The sequence below is a fragment of the Homo sapiens genome, chromosome 11 (genome assembly GCF_000001405.40).
Source record: "Homo sapiens chromosome 11, GRCh38.p14 Primary Assembly".
NCBI lineage: Eukaryota > Metazoa > Chordata > Mammalia > Primates > Hominidae > Homo > Homo sapiens.
In genome coordinates, this window is record NC_000011.10 from 94,402,616 (window position 1) to 94,424,324 (window position 21,709).

At 39.0% G+C, this 21,709-nt stretch overlaps 1 protein-coding gene across 37 annotated transcripts in view; it reads right to left on the minus strand.

The window, feature by feature from the left end:
* MRE11 (MRE11 double strand break repair nuclease) overlaps positions 12,955-21,709 on the minus strand; it is a 96,843-nt gene continuing 88,088 nt past the window's right edge. For 33 of the 37 annotated variants that reach the window (XM_011542837.3, NM_001440487.1, NM_001440472.1 and 30 more), the window contains one exon: positions 12,955-17,566. In XM_011542837.3, the coding sequence (XP_011541139.1) occupies positions 17,510-17,566 (57 nt within the window). In that variant the 3' untranslated portion in view covers positions 12,955-17,509. The remainder of the gene's footprint in view (positions 17,567-21,709) is intronic. The other 4 variants (XR_007062484.1, XR_007062482.1, XR_007062483.1 and 1 more) reach the window with 1 other exon arrangement.

The following is a 21,709-nucleotide window of genomic DNA, read 5'->3' on the forward strand; positions in this document are numbered from 1 at the left end:
TTTCCACTTCACATGTACTCTTCAAGCAACTGTGTCTGGAGGAAAGGATGGCTAGCAGATAACCCTCAATTATACTGAAGGACCTGGCAGGTCTCACAGGATTAAATGGCTGAAATAGGGGATTATGTGACAGATCCTAGAAGGGACAAGGTGCTAGGCCGATGAAATAATACATCTTTAGCTCCAGGAAATAAACCAAGAGACTGCCTGTAAACACTGAAAGCTTGGGGGCCGGGCGCGGTGGCTCACGCCTGCAATCCCAGCACTTTGGGAGGTCGAGGCGGGCGGATCCACGAGGTAGGAGACCGAGACCATCCTGGCTAACACGGTGAAACCCCATCTCTACTAAAAATACAAAAAATTAGCTGGGCGTGGTGGCAAGCGCCTGTAGTCCCAGCTACTCAGGAGGCTGAGGCAGGAGAATGGCGTGAACCCGGGAGGCGGAGCTTGCAGTGAGCCGAGATCGCGCCACTGCACTCCAGCCTGGGCGACAGAGCGAGACTCCGTCTCAAAAAGAAAAAAGCTTAGGTAGACTTGCTGCTCCATCAAGATGACCTGGCATCATCTTGAGAGGCAAGGCCGGAATATGATGGTCATTTAGAAAACAGAATCCTAGTCAATTGACTGTGCCCAGTGTCAACAAAGAGTGTATGGATAGAAGAGGAATAGTCAGCGTCAAGCTCAGAGAAAGAAATCAAAGGTAGCCAGTGCCCTTCCAAGCACTCTCTTCCAAGTACCACAGAAGGTGCTTGCTAGCCGGCATATTTGTAATCTGGGCCACCTAACTAATGTCTTCACTTTGATTCCCTGCTCATCATGCCCACCTTGTAAGTGTGAGGGCATTTACACCAGAAGCCTGAAACTTTCTTTCTGAAAGAGGTGAGGTGTTTTAGTTCTTAGCTTTCCCCAAAAGCATCTCCTGTGACAAATACTCTAGTGAGAGGGTTCATTTGGGAGATGAAGGCAAACACCAATAGGGAAGTGGAGAAGTGTGACAAGAAAGGGAAAGCAACCAATAGAGTTTTGTCAAGCCAGCTACCACTGTGGGTGACAAGCTGAAGCCTGCTGGGAAGCCAGTGTAAGGTGTACACATCAGCTATCCAAGCCAAGGGGTGACAGAGCTGTGGTATCTGTACTCCACCTCCTGTTAGTCACTGGTTGAAGGCTTCTCCCAGGGGTCTGCTCCTTCTCCCAGGATGCTCCTGAACTTCTGGCCTGCCATGTGGATAGCCAAAATGGGCTCCAGAGGCAAAACAAGGGCTCAGGCAAATAAATGCTACTGCTGGCAGTTGCAAGTTGCACTGGTGTGCTCTGAAGGGGGAGGCGGTCCTGAGAAAATCCAAGGGTAGGCATGAGGTCTGGAATCACTTCCTCTTCCTCTTCCCCAGGCATTCAGCTCTCCACTCAGCCAGGCCTGGGCCTCCTGAGCCCTGCCAAGCCCTCCTCTTAGCCCAGCACCACTGTCCCAAACTTATCCTGAACTCCTGAAGTCACAGTCTTTGAGACAGAGTCTCGCTCTGTCACCCAGGCTGGAGTGCAGTGGCGTGATGTCGGCTCACTGCAAGCTCCGCCTCCTGGGTTCACGCCATTCTCCTGTCTCAGCCTCCCAAGGAGCTGGGACTACAGGCGCCTGCCACCACACCTAGCTAATTTTTTCTATTTTTTTGTAGAGACGGGGTTTCACTGTGTTAGCCAGGATGGTCTCGATCTCCTGACCTCGTGATCCACCCGCCTCGTGATCCACCCGCTTCGGCCTCCCAAAGTGCTGGGATTACAGGCGTGAGCCACTGTGCCCGGCCGAAGTCACAGTCTTTAATGAAACAAGAATATCCCTTCACCTTACCTCACACGAAGGCTGAGTTATTAAAAGTAGTTCTTTTCTCAGAGGCGTTATGGTAAATCACTGTAAATCACTGTTGCTCTTACTAAGTGGTTACAGGAAGATACAAGCAGCTCTTACAGTGAACCAACCTCTTGTTTTTGTACATTACAAATAAAACCAAAGACACTGAATAGTCAGTTTGTGCCAAATAGTAAGTATATTCCTAGATCTCTAGTAATAGTCACACACAGTAAACACAGAAAAGAGCAGAGGGTTTCACTCTCTCAAATGTACTTGAAACAAACAAAAAAACCAATAAACCACTTCACACTATTTTAATAAAAATGAGACCAAGAATTATAGAACACAGTAGTCCCCCCTTATTGATGGGGTAAACATTCCAAGATTCCTAGTGGATGCCCAAAACTGTGGATAGTATCAAACCCTATACAGGCTACACATGAATTTCTTTTTCCGTCTTCACAATTTCATGGATAGAAGATTCGTTCTTATTACAGATCTTAGCAGCCTCAGCTTACGATTTTTCCCTCCTTCCTTATTAAATCAAGAACTTTCACCTTTTCACATAAAGGAAGTATTTTATAGCTTCTAGCTGGCATATGCTAATTGCCAGCATTGCTACTCTTGCAGCTTTGGGGCTACTATAAGTAAAATAAAGGTTAGTTGAACACAAGCACTGCAATACCTTGACGGGAGCTCTGACAACTGAGGTGGCTACTGAGTGACTGAGGAGGAGGTACTGCATGGATATGCTGAACAAAGGGAGGATTCACATCCTGAGTGGACAGAGTAGGGTGGTGCAAGATTTCATCAGAAACTGCAGAAAACGAAACCTTGGATAAAGTGAGACTACTGTAACATCACATAGAGGCCTACGAAAGAGGTTTTGAGAGTCTCACCACATCAGTATTCCTGACGCTGCAAACAATGCCTTTTTATCACCAATATTATTCTCTGAAAAGGCCCTACTTGAGTTAAAAACTCACCACACTCACATTTCCTTATGGTACTAATCACAGTGGCAGAAGGGAACAAACAGCAGTTCAACACAATGCCAGGCACATGACAGTCAATCCTAGTTTAATTGTACCAGTTGTATGTCATCATACTTGAATTACAAATGAACCAAGTAAGCCTGAAATACCAAGTACAGCTGAAGATATGCTCAAATGCAATAAAAATGCAAAGTGTGTAGGCAGGCTAAGCTAGGAATTGCTTTCCAAGTTCCAGCACACTGAGCCATAGAGTAAAAAGGTATATTTAGGATATGCAAAAAGAAGTACAACCAAGCTCCAACTTCAGTTTGTGGCCCCAAATTAAATTCTAAGTTGCTTGAACTTACTCTGCAGTTCTACATAGAAATTTTTCTAAATGGTGGCTAGGGTCTTAAGCCAACTCCAACAACCCATTTAACCCATATACGGATAAATGGTAGCATTTATCGTAGCATTGCTAGCTAAAGTTCAGGGCTCCAAGATGTTATGCTCCATTATCTGCTCCTCTTGAATTAAATGTCCCCCTGGGTGATCGCAGCCACCTTCACTGGTTTAACCATCCATTACTCACCAATGACTCCAAGATCTGTACCTCACTTACCACCTGTTAAAAGCTCCAAACCCGTATTATGTAACATTTCACTGTTGATCGGACATTATGACCTGGAATACCCACCCACTTCAACAAGCTCCAAACTCAATTCATTATGTCCTGCTCTTCCCTCACTTTCTTGTACTTGCTCCTTTTCCTATTCACTTGTCCACCATGGTTAGAATCTTGTGGTCATCTCACACATTACCAATTACATGACACTGTGTATTTGAGGATGCTGTTTCTCTGCCTACAGTCATCCACTCCACCACCTTAGAGCCAGAAAAACTCTATTCTTCAAGACCCAGCTCAAATGTTATCTCCCCTCTGAAGACTGTCTGACCCCCTTGACTGCCACAACCCCAGAACAAGCAAAGTCAGTGTTCCCAAATCTGCTCTTTTAAAAGTGCTCCCATAACATATGATTCATTCTCTGATACTATACTTTCCTTGTTGGGGTCTCATGATTTGCTACACGTCTATTTCCTATGAAACTGTCAGCATTACCAGGCCAGGAACTACTGTCTTCCTAATGTTGTCTCCTACAGCCTAGTACTAAGACAGGGAAAACAGGTAGTACTAAGGTTGAGATACTGTCTCTGGAATCAGACAACCCAGGATGCAGGTCTTTATCTCTCTAAATACTCTTTTATCTCTCTAGTAAGTTCCTGGGACATATCTAATTATTATTTTATTTTATTTTTCCATAAGCTATTGGGGTACAGGTGCTGTTTGGTTACATGAGTAAGTTCTTTAGTGGTGATATGTGAGATTTTGGTGCACCCATCACCCGAACAGTATACACTGCACCATATTTGTAGTCTTTTATCCCTCACCCCCCCCACTCTTCCCCCAAGTTCCCAAAGTCCATCGTATCATTCTTATGCCTTTGCGTCCTCATAGCTTAGCTCTCACATACCAGTGAGAACACAGAATGTTTGGTTTTCCATTCCTAAGTTACTTCACTTAGAATAATTTCTCCAATCTCATCCAGGTCACTGCAAATGCTGTTAATTCATTCCTTTTTATGGCTGAGTGGTATTCCATTGTATATATATATATATACACCACAGCTTCTTTATCCACTTGTTGACTGATGGGCATTTGGGTTGGTTCCACGATTTTGCAATTGTGAATTGTGCTACTATAAACATGCATGTGCAAGTATCTTTTTCGAATAATGACTTCTTTTCCTCTGGGTAGATACCCAGTAGTGGGATTGCTGGATCAAACGGTAGTTCTATTTTTAGTTCTTTAAGGAATCTCCACACTGTTTTCCATAGTGGCTGTGTTAGTTTACATTCCCACCAACAGTGTAGAAGTGTTCCCTGATCACCGCATCCATGCCAACATCTACTGTTTTTTGATTTTTTTATTATGGCCATTCTCGCAGGAGTAACGTGGTATCGCATTGCGGTTTTGATGCATTTCCCTGATGATTAGTGATGGTGAACATTTTTTTCATATGTTTGTTGGCCATTTATGTATCCTCTTTTGATAACTGCCCATTCACGTCCTTAGCTCACTTTTTGACGGGATTGTTTTTTTTCTTACTGACATGAGTTGGCTGCAGATTCTGGATATTAGTCCTTTTGTCAGATGTATAGATTGTGAAGATTTTCTCCCACTCTGTGGGTTGTCTGTTTACTCTGCTGACTGTTCCTTTTGCCATGCAAAAGCTCTTTAGTTTAATTAGGTCCCAGCTATTTATCTTTGTTTTTATTGCATTTGTTTTTGGGTTCTTGGTCATGAAATCCTTGCCTAAGCCAATGTCTAGAAGGGTTTTTCCAATGTTATCTTCTATAATTAGTCCTTTCCCCACTTTATGTTTTTGTTTGCTTTGTCGAAGATCAATTGGCTGTTTAAGTATTTGGGTTTATTTCTGGGTTCTCTATTCTGTTCCACTGGTCTATGTGCCTATTTTTATAGTGGTACATGCTGTTTTAGTGACTATGGCCTTATAGTATAGTTTGAAGTGAGGTGGTGTGATGCCTCCAGATTTGTTTTTTTTTGCTTAGTTTTGCTTTGGCTATGTGGGCTCTTTTTTGGTTCTATATGAATTTTAGAATTTTTTTTTCTAACTGTGAAGAATAATGGTGGTATTTTGAAGGTGACTGCATTGAATTTGTAGGTTGCTTTTGGCAGTATGGTCATTTTCACAATATTGATTCCACCCATCCATGAGCATAGGATGTGTTTCCATTTGTTTGTGTCATCTATGATTTCTTTCAGCAGTGTTTTGTAGTTTTCCTGGTAGAGGACTTTCAACTCCTTTGTTAGGTATATTCCTGAGTATTTTACTTTATTTTTTTTGCAGCTGTTGTAAAAGTGGTTGAGTTCTTGATTTGATTCTCTGCTTGGTCACTGTAGATGCATAGAAGAGCTACTGATCTGTGTACATTCATCCAGTATCTTGAAACTTTGCTGAATTATATAATCAGTTCTAGCAGTTTTCTGGGGGAACACTTAGGGTTTGGAAATTAAATAACCTGCTCCTGAATGAGCTATGGGTCAAAAACAAAATCAAGATGGAAATTAAAAAATTCTTGAACTGAAAGACAATAATGACCCAACCTATCAAAACCTCTGGGATACAGCTAAGGTGGTGCTAAGAGGATAGTTCATTGCCCTAAATGCCTACATCAAAAATTCTGAAAGAGCACAAACAGACAATCTAAGGTCACAACTCAAGGAACTAGGGAACTAGAACAAACCAAACCCAAACCCAGCAGAAGAAAGGAAATAACCAAGATCAGAGCAGAACTAAATGAAATTGAAACAAACAAAAAATACAAAAGATAAATGAAACAAAAAGCTGGTTCTTTCAAAAGATAAATAAAATTGATAGACCACTAGCAAGATTAACCAAGAAAAGAAGAGAGAAAATCCAAATAACCTCACTAAGAAACAAAACAGGAGATAATACAGCTGAAACCACCAAAATACAAAAGATCACTCAAGGCTACAATGAACACCTTTATGCATATAAACTAGAAAACCTAGAAGAGATGGATAAATTCCTGGAAAAATACAACCCTCCTAGCTTAAATCAGGAAGAATTAGATACCCTGAACAGACCAATAACAAGGAGCGAGACTGAAATAGTAATTTAAAAATCACCAACGCAAAAAAGTCCAGAACCAGACAGATTCACAGCAGAATTCTACCAGGCATTCAAAGAAGAATTGGTACCAATTCTTTTGACACTATTCCACAAGATAGAGAAAAAAGGAACCTTCCCTAATCCATCCTATGAAGCCAGCATCATCCTAATACCAAAATCAGGAAAGGATACAACCAAAAAAGAAAGCTACAGACAAATATCCTTGATGAACATAGATGCTAAAATCCTTAACAAAACACTAGCTAAGTGAATCCAACAACATATCAAAAAGATAATCCACCATGATCAAGTGGGTTTCATACCAGGGATGCAGGGGTGGTTTAACACACGCAAGTCAATAAATGTGATATACCAGATAAACAGAATTAAAAACAAAAATCACATGACCATCTCAATACATGCGGAAAAAGCATTCGACAAAATCCAGCTTCCCTTTATGATTAAAACCCTCAGCAAAATCAGCATACAAGGGACATACGTTAATGTAATAAAAGCCATCTATGACAAACCCACAGCCAACATAATACTGAATGGGGAAAAGTTGAAAGCATTCTGAGAATGAGAACAAGAAAGGGATGCCCACTCTCAACACTCCTCTTCAACATAGTGCCAGAAGTCCTAGCCAGAGCAATCAGACAAAAGAGAAAGAGCATCCAAATCAGTAAAGAGGAAGTCAAACTGTTCTTGTTTGCTGATACGATCGTTTACCTTGGACATATCTAATTTAAAATAACAATATCCATTTTGTATATGCAATAAAACCTACCTTCTGTAAAAGTAACAATTTTCTGGTTCTGTTGCTGGATAACCACTTAAAATGAGGTTTTTTTTTTAATTATACTTTAAGTTCTAGCGCACAACGTGCAGGTTCGTTACATAGGTATACGTGTACCATGTTGGTTTGCTGCACCCATCAACTCGTCATTTACATTAGGTATTTCTCCTAATGCTATCCCTTCCCCACCACCCCACGACAGGCCTCGGGGTGTGATGTTCCCCGCCCTGTGTCCAAGTGTTCTCATAAAATGAGAATTTCTTCATTAGCTCTCAGAGGGGACAAAAGGAAGATACAGTTCCTCTAAAGAGTAGAGCCGTGCAATTAAATGTTTCAAGGGGATTTTCTACAATTCTATAGGTTGAGTCACATTTCTTAACATCAGCTCTCATTCTATGCTCTTAATTGCTATTGGGCTATTTTTTTCTACTTCTTTTTCATTTCTGTTGTGTGCTTTGTTTTGAATCCGATCCTCAGAACGAGAAAGAGGATAATTAGCCATATTTAAGCTATTTGATTGATATTGCATCTTACAGAGGGAGAATGATGATTAAAGTGTTTTTTTAAAAAATAGCAATACCAAGTAAAAAAATTGTTAAGGATATTTCTAGAAAGCATCACAGGACCAGTAACTCATTTTCACAGGATGTAAGCAACAGCTATCATTGATCTTAGGCTCTTTTGAAAATGCTTTAATAGGATTTTTTTTATTTCTTTGAATTACCACTTGAGGTCATTAATTTTGAGCATCAGAAAAAGAAGTCTTTTTTCATATTAATTTTACACTGACTTCTATTTCATAAAGTTCATGCTATGATAAAAGAAATTCTAGCAATTACAGTTGAAGATGCAGCTAGCAGCCAATGGAATCATCGAAGGTTTTATATGCCGGGACTGTGCTAATCACTTCATAAGCATCATTGCATCTAATCACAAAACATACAAGGTAGGCATTTTTATCTACTGAATGGGGAAGCAGATGTTCTGAGACTGACTTGTATAAGTCACACAGCTAAAAGGACTGAAAGATTGAAGCCCAGGTCTGACTGATCAACAATCTTATCATTAGCTTCTGGGTGAAGAGTACTGTTAAAGCCTAAAACCAAATGGAAGAAACCTTTTACTGTGAAGTTCACAAAATCAAATAAATGACTAGGTATTGGGTAGGGTGCAGTGAAGGAGGTGCTCTCATGTTGCTGGTGGGAGTATAAATGGATATATCCTTTCTGCAAAGGAATCTGGTAAAACTGTCATAAGCCTTAAAATATTTTCATCTCCTTTACCTGAAATTCTATTTTTTACTCTATCCTAGCCTACGGATATAATTTTTAAAATGTGGTCAAAGATTTATGTACAACTGACAGCATATTTTATTTAAAAAGAGTCCTTGTTGTTTATTATATATACGCATGTGCATATATACATGCAGATTAAATAACACAATGTCTGGAATTTGCTTCAAAATCATCTGGACCTGGGGAAGAGAAATGGATTGAAGCAGGATGATGGATATATGTAGGTTTCTCACACCCTATCTCCACATAAAAAGTATAAAAATATTATGTAAAAAGATGACTCCATCAAGCATTATTTATTATAGTGAAAAATATATTATGCTGTGGTATTCCATGACCCAAAACACTATGCAACCATTAAAAGAAATGTTTTTGAGAAAAATTTAGTAACACAGAAAATGCTTTCAGAATAACACAAGCAGGACACAAACTGATACAATTTCACTTCAATTATGTGAAGCGTTAAAGGGCGCACAGTGAAATGTTAATAGCAGGATTTTGATATCCTTTTTCTTCATATTCTTTTGCATTTTTCACAAATACTATTTATACTCGGAAAAAACTCAGTAGTTTACAGAGGACAACAGTCCATCTTTATCTGTAACAGGTTCCTAATTATTGCCACTGTCACAGATGAGTCACTGGTCTGATCAGCCAACTGAACCAATCTGACTAGGGTGGCAATTTTGGGTAAGAAGGTGTTTGGAAATCAAGTCATTGACTTCATAACTTAAGACTCTAATGCCTCTACTGCATAGCACAGTCATTTGTGTTTACGAGAGTTATTTCCATTGTCAAGGAGTGAGGGGGAAATTAACAGCTCTGCTTTATTTCTGTGAGTGCTTTGGAATTTTTTTCTTTTAACAAAATCTATTATGTCTTCACATAGTCATGCATTAAGTATTTACTAAGAGCCTGCTCTATGCCAGGCACCATGCTAGGCTTGGTTCAGAGACAAAAACAGCAAGGGGCATTCCCTTAAGGAAACTCAATTTAATGGGAAAGGCAGTGTCGAGAGTTATGGCATCACATAATAAAAGGTTGTGGAAGAGGTGAATTCAGGATGAACCCAGGCTGGGAGTCCACAGCCTGCCAGAAGGCACTTGCTGTTAAGAATTGTTATTTAGGAATTAAACTTGTAAGTACAGCATAAATGGCATGGTCCGAGCATGGTGGCTCATGCCTGTAATCGCAGCACTTTGAGAGGCCGAGGTGGGCGGATCACCTGAGGTTAGGAGTTCGAGACCAGCCTGGCCAACACAGTGAAAACCCGTCTCGTCTCTACTAAAAATAGAAAAAAATTAGCTGGGTGTGATGGCTCGTGCCTGTAATCCCAGCTACTCAGGAGGCTGAGGCAGGAGAATCACTTGAATCTGGGAGAGATGGAGGTTGCAGTGAGCCAAGATCACATCACTGCACTTCAGCCTGGACGACAAAGCAAAACTCTCTCGAACTTAAAAAAAAAAAAAAAAAAGACATGGTCATTTTCTTCACACAATTTCGATTTTTATCACTCTACCCTTAATTTCAGCCTTTTATAATATCGTATGATTTTGTCGAATAGTCTAACTGGTGGGTCAAGAACGGACTTTCACCTTCAGATCCTACATGTTTCCTTCACTGTGTACAGACTTTTCCCCTGAGATATATGATCATCACAACCTTCCCTGTTCCACTGCCTGCAAGCTGCATCTTCAACTGTAATTGCTAGAATTTGTCTTTATCATAGCATGAACTTTATGAAACACAAGGCAGTTAGAGCCAGTATGAAAAAATACAACTTTTCTTTCTCTGGTGCTCAAAAATAATGGCCTCAAATGGCAATTAAAAAAATCTTATTAGAAGCATTTTTTAAAAGCATGTAAGATCAATGATAGCTATTGCTTACATCCTGTGAAAATGAGTTGCTGATCTGGCCATGTTTTCTAGAAATATCCTTAAAGATATTTTTACATGGTATTGTTGTTAAAACAAAAACAATCCACTTTAATCATTATTTCCCCATCTGTAAGATGCAATATTAATCAATAGCTTAAATTAACAGATAATTATTTTCTTTCATGTTCTGAGGATCTGATTTGAAACAAAGCACATAGCAGAAACAAAATAGAAAAAAATAGCCCAATAGCAATTAAGAGCATAGAAATCAATTCCCAGCTGGACTGTGGAGTTGAATTGGAAAGGCAAAACATAAAGTTCTGAAGATAACACAGAAGTTACATGAGCTTAAGGTAAGCAATGTTTTTCTTGAACAGAACACAAAAACATTACACCTTAATCAATGTAAGTTGGACTTCATAAAGTCCAATTATGCAATTATAAAAATAAAAAAGTTATGTTCCTTAAAAGACCCTCTGTTCAATTAGACACCATTTATACAACAAAAACCAACTCCAGATGCAAAACCAGATAAATTTGACTACATTAAAAACAAACTGTTGCACTGCAAAAAAAGTCACCATAAGCAAAATAAAAATACAAACAAGAAGTTGGGAAAAAATTTTACAATATATTATAGACAAAGGGTTAATATCTAATATTTAAAAAATACTTTTTATATCGAGTGAAGAAAAAGGGGACTAGACATTCTAGAAAAATGAGTAAGATACACGAACAAGCAATTCACCGAAAATGGGTGTAAAAATGTGCCTTAAGCATATTTTTGCAAATTCAACTTAATTCATAAGAGAAATGCAAATTATAATTACACTAAGATGCCATTTCTTGTCCATCAGTTTGGCAAACAATCAAAAATCTGACGACAATACATTCTTCTGATGGTGAGGCTATAGAGAAATAGGTAGTCCACATATTGTTGGTGGGAATACCACTTTTATAAAAAGGAACTTGGCAACACCTAACAAAACTACATGTACATTTACTCTTTTACCGAATAATCACATTTCCAGGAATTTACTCTGAAGATAACACTTCTAAAAATTTTAAAATACTAGTATTAGTATTGCAGTATTAAAAATACTAGTATTAGCATTGCAGTATTATTTGTAATTGTAAATATCAGAACTACCAAAAGGCACAAATATAGGAGGACAGAATCCACTATGGCATTTAAACTCAATGGAGTACCATGAGGCTATAAAAAAGGAAGATCTCCATAAAATGACATGGAGTAGTTTGTAGGACAAAAAACTCCATTTGTTCAGACAAAAAGAGTATATATAGCATAAAACCTTTTATGTAAGAAAATAGGGGACATGAAAAAATGTACAAATTTGCATATTTTGGTGAAAAGAATAAACAAAAATGAAATTGGTTACCTACAATGGGTGGGGCAAAAAGGGATGAAAGGAATAGGGAAGGGAGTAAGACTTGAGTGTGCATTTGAATGATTTAGACTTCAGGAAGCACGTTGATACTCTACATATTCACAGAATAAAACTAAACCTAGACTAGAGGGAAAAACATGCTATATAAGGAAAGTATTGGAACAAATAAAAAAATTGGAAAATGGACTGTAGATTAACAGTATGGTGGTTATAAAAGGATATTCTTGTTCCTAGGGAACATACAATGAAGTATTAAAGAGTAAAGGAACATGACATTCCAACCTAGTGTCAAAAGATTGAGAAATTTTATGTGTGTGTTCACATTTGACATGAAAATATATGTATATAACATATACATATATGCACATATAGAATTTTTTTAATGACAAAATGTCAAAAATTGGTTAATCTGAATAAACTATAAAAAGTTATCCATTATTCTTGCAACTTTCTGTAAAGTTGATACTCTTTCAAGTTTTAAAAATATGATCTGGACTTAAAACTACTAAAAACCTCAGAAATCAGTACTGGAATGACAAACCACTAGAAACTTTCAGGATACCTATGATGGGTTTATTTATTTATCTCATCGTTTATGGTAAAACACTTTAATGAGTGTAAAATGGATGCCTTCATTTCCAGACTACCCAAGAACCAACGGAAATGCAGTTGGGCCTCTCAGCCTATTAAGCAATGGCCTTTTGCCTCTAGCAAAATGTACTCAAAGTCAGATATACCATCCCATCAGTTCAAATGCACTAACAGGTAGACTGCAGTTATAAGCTTCTATGTAGAAAATTCTGATTTTTACATAAAATATAAACACGAAACACTTGGTACTGATATTGAACAGGCACTGTGATCAAGGGTACTTATGCACTAGTTTTGGGTATTTGTACATGAACCATCTTGACTACACAGTGGCTCAGAGGCAGAACAAAGTTTGCATGGGCCAACCAGCCTAATATCCATTAAACCTCTTTTGTTAATCAGCCATAATGTGCAAAAGCCAGCCAAGAGCCCTTTAAAAATCACTTTACCACTTTTAATGTCAAGGCACCACAGATTAAATATCCTTTTATTTGACTCAAACTGAACAATAACATTTAAAACACACAACGGGAAGCAGCGCAGTTATCTCTCAAAATAGACAATGATGGTTTAATTAAGAGGTTGATAAAGCATATGTAGAAAAGTCAGAATGTCAAAATAAGTACCAAGGAGAACATATACTTTGAAAAGGGGGCTAAAACATGTAGCTATACAATCTGGGGTTCTTATCGATTGATGGATAGATTGATTGAGACAGAGTCTTGCTCTGTTGCCCAGGCTGGAGTGCAATGGCGTGATATCAGCTCACCGTGACCTCCAACTCCCAGGTTCAAGCAATTCTCCTGCCTCAGCCTCCTGAGTAGTTGGGATTACAGGCGCCCACCACCATGCCTGGCTAATTTTTGTATTTTTAGTAGAGTCGGGGTTTCGCCATGTTGGCCCTGCTGGTCTCGAACTCCTGACCTCAGGTGATCCGCCTGCTTTGGCCTCCCAAAGTGCTAGGATCACAGGCGTGAGCCACCGTGCCCGGTGCTGGGATTCTAATTCAACAATTTTTCTTGGTAGTCTTGCCAACAGTAATTGGAGAAACGTGTTCCTAATTGTCGGTGGGGAGAGGATTAAAGGTAAGCACACACATTTTAATACACATTCAATGTCTGAATTTGAAGAATAAAAATGCATTGCTTTCACCACTTAAAAAGAGCTAAAATCAGATCCAGTTATTTGACACAGCAAAGACATACAAATGTACATGGCAACAGCAAGTTATATAAGCTGGTTCTTTAGATCAAACTAAAATTCTAGTATTTTCTGACCAAACTAAGTTCAAAAGTACTAAAAGAAAATGAAACAGGCAAATGATGAAATGTGGATCTTTTTCATTCAAGAATATGGAAACTCATTGGACTGAAAAACCCAAATCTTCATTATACCAAACTTCTATAATGATCTTAATGGTAGTTAGCTTTAAAAAAACACAAAATAGGCTGGGCGTGGTGGCTCAGGCCTGTAATCCCAGCACTTTGGGAGGCTGAGGTGGGTGGATCACAAGGTCAGGAGATCGAGACCATCCTGGCTAACACAGAAAAACCCTGTCTCTACTAAAAATACAAAAAAAAAAAAAAAAAAATTAGCCAGGCGTGGTGGTGGGCGCCTGTAGTCCCAGCTACTTGGGAGGCTGAGGCAGGAGAATGGCGTGGAGCTTGCAGTGAGCCGAAATGGTGCCCCTGCCCTCCAGCCTGGGCAAGAGTGCGAGACTCCGTCTCAAAAAAAAAAAACAAAAAAAACCCAAAATACTATGAATTAAATTTATGACAGATACAAAAAGGACATCAGATTTCTTTGGGGGAAAGTCGCTTTTAAATTCTATATTTCCAAAAAAGATATTTTACATTTAGATACTTTTTTTTTTTTTGAGATTGAGTTTCACTCTTGTTGCCCAGGCTGCAGTGCAATGGCACAATCTCGGCTCACTGCAACCTCTGCCTCCTGGGTTCAAGCGATTCTCCTGCCTCAGCCTCCTGAGTAGCTAAGATTACAGGCACACACCACCATGCCCAGCTAATCTTTTGTATTTTTAGTAGAGACGAGGTTTCACCATGTTGGCCAGGCTGGTCTCAAACTCCTGACCTCAGGTGAACCCCCTCCTCGGCCTCCCAAAGTGCTGGGATTAAAGGCATGAGCCACTGCACCCAGCCCATTGAGATACTTTTTTACTCAGTTTTTTTCTAAGAATGGATTTTCCTCTTTATGAAAACAAAATATTCCTTTTCTTTATAAAACTTTATAGGCAAATTTATCAAGCTGGTAAATTCCATAACAGGCTGAACCAAATGAAATACCTAAGTAAAGCAAATTACATGATTAGAAGGCTAATTATGGTATTACTGCATAGGTTTAGTATTAATGCATATGTTCTAAGTTTATTGCAACTACACTAACTTCGTAATTTTAGATTTGCAGTTGCATCCTCCTAACTGCGTCTAATGGCAGAAGCACCACCTTGTGGCAAAAGTAGGAGCTTTTAAATTACAGAAGTTAGGGCTTGTTACCCAGAAAGGAGAAAACAATATAATGGGCATCCAGGACACTGCGCTATTTCTTGACCTGTAGAGGGATTCCATCAGTGCTCAATTTATAATTATTTATTCAACCATATGACTTTTCTGTATTTATTGTATTTCCTACTTTTAAAAGTTTGGGAAAAAAGTCTTTTACATACCTGAATTAAAGGTCACATTCCTAAATGCTTGAATTTTCTAAGCACCACTTATATTTTCAAGAATTTCCTAGAACTTCGAGGAATCTTTAACCTTGTAAATGCACTGTTGTATTTTTATGATAGGAAATAAAACACCAGAAAGACACTTATTCTTTGGTAAGTAACAGAAGAATTCCCTACAGATGTCTTCCTCTGAATGTTTTCATTCCTGCTCTCCCAAAGCCTCCAAGAGCAAATGCAGCTGCTTTCAAATCATCTGAAAGACTTCTACATTCCTATACCAACAGGTCTGAAAATTGTTAGAAACAAAAAACAAAACTCCCCTAAAACCAACAGATTTTGCAGGATCAATATAAAATATTAAGGATATATAGCACATTTAACTATGTAACAATATTCAATCAAAAAAAGGTTTCCCTGTCACGTTTTATTTACCATATTTTCAGGGCTTGATACATAGTATTCACAAAATGACCTGAATTAGCTGGAGAGATTTATCACCCTCTGTAACTGCTATGTCATCACTTTCCTTAGCGGTGAACTGAATCGCATTTAGTACCTCTTTTCACAGCCAAGAGCAATTTTTTTTTTTTTAAGGAAAAAAACTTTATTCCTTTTTTCCTAGGAACTTGTCAGGATACTTTAGTGACCATTCCCTCACTATAACTCTCACCCAGACCCACCTAACTGATGCATGAGAAGAGCCACTAGCTGATGTGGCCCACAGCTCAGACTGAGCCAGCATGGCTTGTGCAGGGGTAGGTAGCACAGCATCATCCAGACACTGCCTCCCCTGGTAGCTTCCATTACATCATGGACAGCACTGCTCTTCCCTGACTTAACCTTCTGCTTTGTTCAAATACTAGAAATATTAGATTTCAAGTTCAATAAAGATGTGGGCAGATCTGCCTAAGAATATTTCACAGGACAATGCCTTCCACTGAGTTAATGTTACTTGCTCAAATAACCCTTATGCTCAAGTTAGGTACAGAAAAAATATTTTTAAGAAAGTCAATAGAATGTTATATTGCAAGTTTTGACTTAGGCCTCTTCAAAAGTGCTATATGAGGCAGCCACTAACCAAGTGTCTGTCTCTTATAATTTGACACATTCCAGGTATGACTATTCTAATGGTCATGAGTATCACTGAGTCAAGTATTTGTTTCTACCTATGAAGAAATGTCGGGCCATTGTACTCCCAAGATGTATAACTTGAATTTTAAAGTAAAGCTGTCGCATAAAACTAGAAGAAGGAATAATCTCAGGGATCTTTTTACAGAGGATTATAAAGAATGGGATTATTTAACTTAAATCTGAAGATGTCTAATTCTTATTTCTCCCCGAAAACAAGTAAAAAATAGAAGCTTAACATGGGCTACTAAGATTTCTGGAATTGCCCATTCAGAAATGTATCACAGGAACCAAAGTTGAGATAAAATATTGTTAATGAGAAATCCTGGCATTGACATTCCACATTAAATATATTTCTATACTTTACTGTAAGGTTCAACTGACCACTCTACCTAAAACAAATTCTTCAATATTTTCAAGATGTAGTTTAAAACAATTTTTAACCCGTTTCCTCCTAGAACTAGGCACGCATATATGTATGAAAGAGAAGAAAAAGCAAAGGAGAAAGGAAGAGTGGGGAACGGGGGGGAGAGGGAGAGAGAGAGAGAGAGAGAGAGAGAGAGAACACCATTAAGGATACAGAATAATAAAGGAAATTACTACCACTTAATGGGAACACAATCTTTTGAAATCTTTGCTACAACTGGAATAAAAAACTCAGTAATTCTGAAAGGTTATTCTACTCTTTTAAATAAAAACATATCTGTTCAAACTATTAGGTACTTCTAATCATTTAGTCTTATAAGAAGCATTGGAAAAAAACATACATAGTAACAAACAGTGAATTTAGACATAGGTTCGCATAAATTGTTTTACTTTCAGAAAACCCAGAACCTCTAGGAAATTACTAAAATTATGAAGAAGTTAAATTTTATAAGCTCTTTCCCTCAACTTTGGCTAAATGTAACCATATTAAAATACTGACATAGTTTTTCATTATGAAATAGAAATGTAAAATGGTAGCTTTATTTTAATCTTTACTCAAGAGTGATATTGAAACAAAGCTCTTACTACAACAACCAGGTTAAAAAAACAAGGTGAATCAATGCTATTGTATGTCTGTGAACTAGAAATTTCTTACTTATGGAGTTATGCTCAGGAAACAATACTTAAAATCTTAAACTGTAAACTCTTAGCTTGTAACATTTTCATTTTTCCTGTATCTTGCATGTTTCTCAGTGCCATTAAATATATTATCTTCTATTTCTTCTTAAAGAACTAGTGTTCATAAAAGGATCATCATCATCATCCTGAAATGAGATACAAATGTTGTATTAGTGATTGTTCCCTGCTTCACTGAAACAAGACAGAAGTTCTTATGGGCAAAACAATACCAGTGAGAGTCATTTCACATGGGATAGACTTTATTTTTCTATTTCCTTTATAACTGCAAAATATATTAAGTACAATTAAATTCTTAATGAGCATTAAAATGAAAATTTATCCTGCTGTGTGTGCATGTATCTACAATATAAACCACACACATTTCCCTTACTAACCTTAATAAAGATAAATGAAGTATAGGTAAGCCAGAAAAATAATTCAAGTCATTTTATATTTGGTTTTTGAATATATTTTCTCATTTACATTTTATTACAGTTGTATCTACTCTTCTGGAAATTCACAGCGAAAAAATAATGAAGCCACATGGAGATCCAACTCAGAAACAGCTGTAATTTTATTTCCCATTACCATTTAATACTAGAAATAGCTAGCTACTCTCACACTTATGCAAAAAACAACCTAGCAAAGCAAGCTTTCAAATAGTTTTTTGGATAAAAAAAGAAATACATGCAGTTATTTCAAGAGTTCCCATGCTGGCCGGGCGCGGTGGCTCACGCCTGTAATCCCAGCACTTTGGAAGGCCGAGGCGGGTGGATCACGAGGTCAGGAGATCGAGACCATCCTGGCTAGCACGGTGAAACCCCGTCTCTACTAGAAATACAAAAAATTGGCCGGGTGTGGTGGCGGGCGCCTGTAGTCCCAGCTACTCGGGAGGCTGAGGCAGGAGAATGGCGTGAAACTGGGAGGCAGAGCTTACAGTGAGCTGAGATCGTGCCACTGCACTCCAGCCTCGGCGACAGAGCGAGAGACTCCATCTCAAAAAAAAAAAAGAGTTCCCATGCTATTGGGCTATAGATTGTATGCATGGTAAGAATAAATAGGAATATCAGATATTAACTAATAATTTAATTAAAGAGAATGAAAACAAACCTCAGATAAGCCCAATTATATAATTTTATGAAGATAAAACCAATTCTTACGTATTCTATAAATATTCAGAAAATAAAGCAAATTTGTTTATAAGTTTTTTATTTGTGTTTAAGACATTAAAAGAAATTAAAAGAAATTATTTGATGCTAGGCTTTGTTGGTGGTATCAGCACTTCCAAATGTTAGCTAAATTAACTATCTCTGATGAGTAATGGATGCCTTAAGAAATATAAATTCATTTTCATTTATTGATTCATTTTCTGCTGCTATCAAAGACAAAACTTAAATAAACCAGAGACAAATCCAAATGAAGTCTAATAGATAATTTGCTAATAGTTTGTCTTTGCAGTTAACATGAACTAGTATACAAATTTTTAACTGTAACATATAACCGCATATATATCCAGATGTTTTGGAATAAACAATAATTGCTCACTTCCCTCCTGGAAGCAACATGTTAGTATTTAATAGGTAGAATGAGCTCTTGCTGCCATTTTTCTTGGCAGCCTGAGTTGAGTCCTCTCAAGCTGTTTTAAACCACAGCTTAAATACAGGGAACATGGCAGCAGCAGCCAAAGCTAAAAATGAAAGGTGTAAGTCACAGGCTACAACGTAGATAAACCTTCAGGTACTTACGCTATGTGAAATAAGCCAGTCACAAAAAGGCAAATACTATATGATTCTACTTCTATGAAGTACCTAGAGTAGTTGAATTCATAGAAAGAGAAAGTGGAATGGTAGTTACCAGGGGATGAAGAAGGGGAAACAGAGACTTGTTATTTCAGGGATATAGATTTTCAGTTTTGCAAAATGAAAAAGTGCTGAAGATCTGTTTAATATGGATCTATTTAACACTACTGAACTGTACACTTAATAATGGTTAGTTTTATGTTATGCTTTTGCTACAATTAACAATTTTTTAAATAAAAAAATAAATGAAAGGGGTCATGGGCCTAAGAGAAACACTTTCAAGCAAATCAACAAAAACTAGCAAAGGCCCTTCAAATGGCAGCCTTGAAGGAAAGGGGAAGGGCAGTATCCTTCAGTCATGTAGTTTTATTTAAACTTAATTGAAACAGCAAATTAATAAAGGCAAGAGGTAAGTCCTGACTTATAACTCTTCCTCTTCCTCCTCCTCCTCATTCATGGTGGGGAGATTTCATGGTTGCAGACGCGATCTGGAACTGGAGTTTTTTCCAGACATCCTCCCAGAGAACATTTCGGACAATGCCTGAATACCTGTATGTCATGAAATCACCACCATGCGCCACCCTCTACATGACACATGTAGAGCATATAGTGAGTACTTAATAAATATTCATTAAAGTAATATTAAAAGCTCTTGGGATATCATCATCATCATCATCATTTCTCCAAATATAAGTAAATGGTAGAAGCTAAAAAAAATTCCGATCCCACTGTTAACTGGGCAAATAAGAACTGAGTGAATATCATATTTTAAAAATCTACAGGACTTTTATATCTGAGGTATTACACTGATGGGCACTCAACATATGTTACTTGTTAACTCTTAACATTAACTATAGTTCAAAGGAAGGTTATCAATGAAACTATTTTTTTTTTTTGAGATGGAGTTTCGCTCGTGTTGCCCAGGCTGGAGTGCAATGGTGCAATCTTGGCTCACTGCAACCTCCACTTCCCAGGTTCAAGCGATTCTCCTGCCTCAGCCTCCTGAGTAGGTGGGATTACAGGCATGTGCCACCATGTCCGGCTAATTTTGTATTTTCAGTAGAGACGGGGTTTCTCCATGTTGGTCAGGCTGGTCATGAACTCCCGACCTCAGGTGATCCGCCTGCCTCAGCCTTCCAAAGTGCTGGGATTACAGGCATGAGCTACCGCGCCCAGCCTGAAACTATTTTTAAAAATAATTTTTAGTGGAAGAAGGACAAGATGGCCAACTAGACAGGGCCAAGAAGCACCACTGCCACTAATAAAGACCAAAATATCGAGTAAGCCAACATATTTTGAGCAGATCTTTGGAGAAAAAGCACCAAGAGCTGATAGAGAGGTGATACAAACTGGAAGCTGAAGAGGGAGGAAGCTGGTAACCTTGTGGGGGTTGCCCAATGCCAGGGCTGGTTCTTGGCCTTGAAAGGCTCCTAGAAAGGGGTGAGTGAATGGATGATGGGGCAGCACACTCTCACTATGGACCTCAGAGATCCTAGCTACAAGATTCCATGCCCCCTGGAGACGTTTCAACTGGCAGGGGGATTGGCCCAAACAGTAGGCAGAGACAGAGCTCCAGAATACATGGAGCCCAGGGGTTTTCATATCTAAGGCAGCTGCAGCAGAAGGTGGCCATAGGCGCCCATCCCCTAAGACTTCTTATTTCCCCTGGAGTAGGACTAGCCCCACCTGAATGCTGGGGCAGGCCAGCCTGGGGCCAGCTTCCCTGTGGGACAGAGGAACATCTGTTCTGCAGGCCCTCCTCCCCTACAGCCCCTTCCAGGGCCCCTGCCAAGCTGCCCTGCAGGAATGTGTGCACAGGGCAGCCTCTGCTGCCTAGCCTTGTTTTTTGCTGGTGGTTCCACCTGAGTACCTTCCTGGCAGCCTGGGAGCATTTCAGATTCCCCAGCACAGCTGGTGCCTGACCCTGAGGGTCCAGACGATGGAGCCACAGGCTGGTCCCAGTGCTACAGGGCTACAGCACACAGCTGGGGCTGTCGAGCTAAGAGCTGGGGCTGGCACTCAAGTAGGGGAGAAATCCCACTTTCAGAACACTGAAAGGAGTGAGACACGTGGGTTCGTGGGCCAGTGCAGGAATGGGACATGCCTTCCTCCACAGTGCTGGTCTGGGAAGGGTGTGGCCTGTCTGGCAGCCATGGCCTCTGTCTAAGGGAGCCCTGCAACCCAAGACACCAAACAACAGTAATGCAGGTACAGTGCCAGTGATAGGAGGGACCTCACCCATGGTCCAGGAGTGGCCCTTATGAGTGGTCATCTCTCTCCCCAACCCCACCACAGAGCACGGCTGTGAACACACAGAAATACAAAAGAACTATGCAGCTGAGTAAGAGCCTATCCACTGGACACTAATGTTAAATGCCAGCTACTGGATCACAGCCAAAATTACAACACCAAAATAATTCTGCCAATATACATCTCTGTGACACCCAGGGCAAGAATCTAGGCACAGTAAAGATCTATATAGAGCTGTGG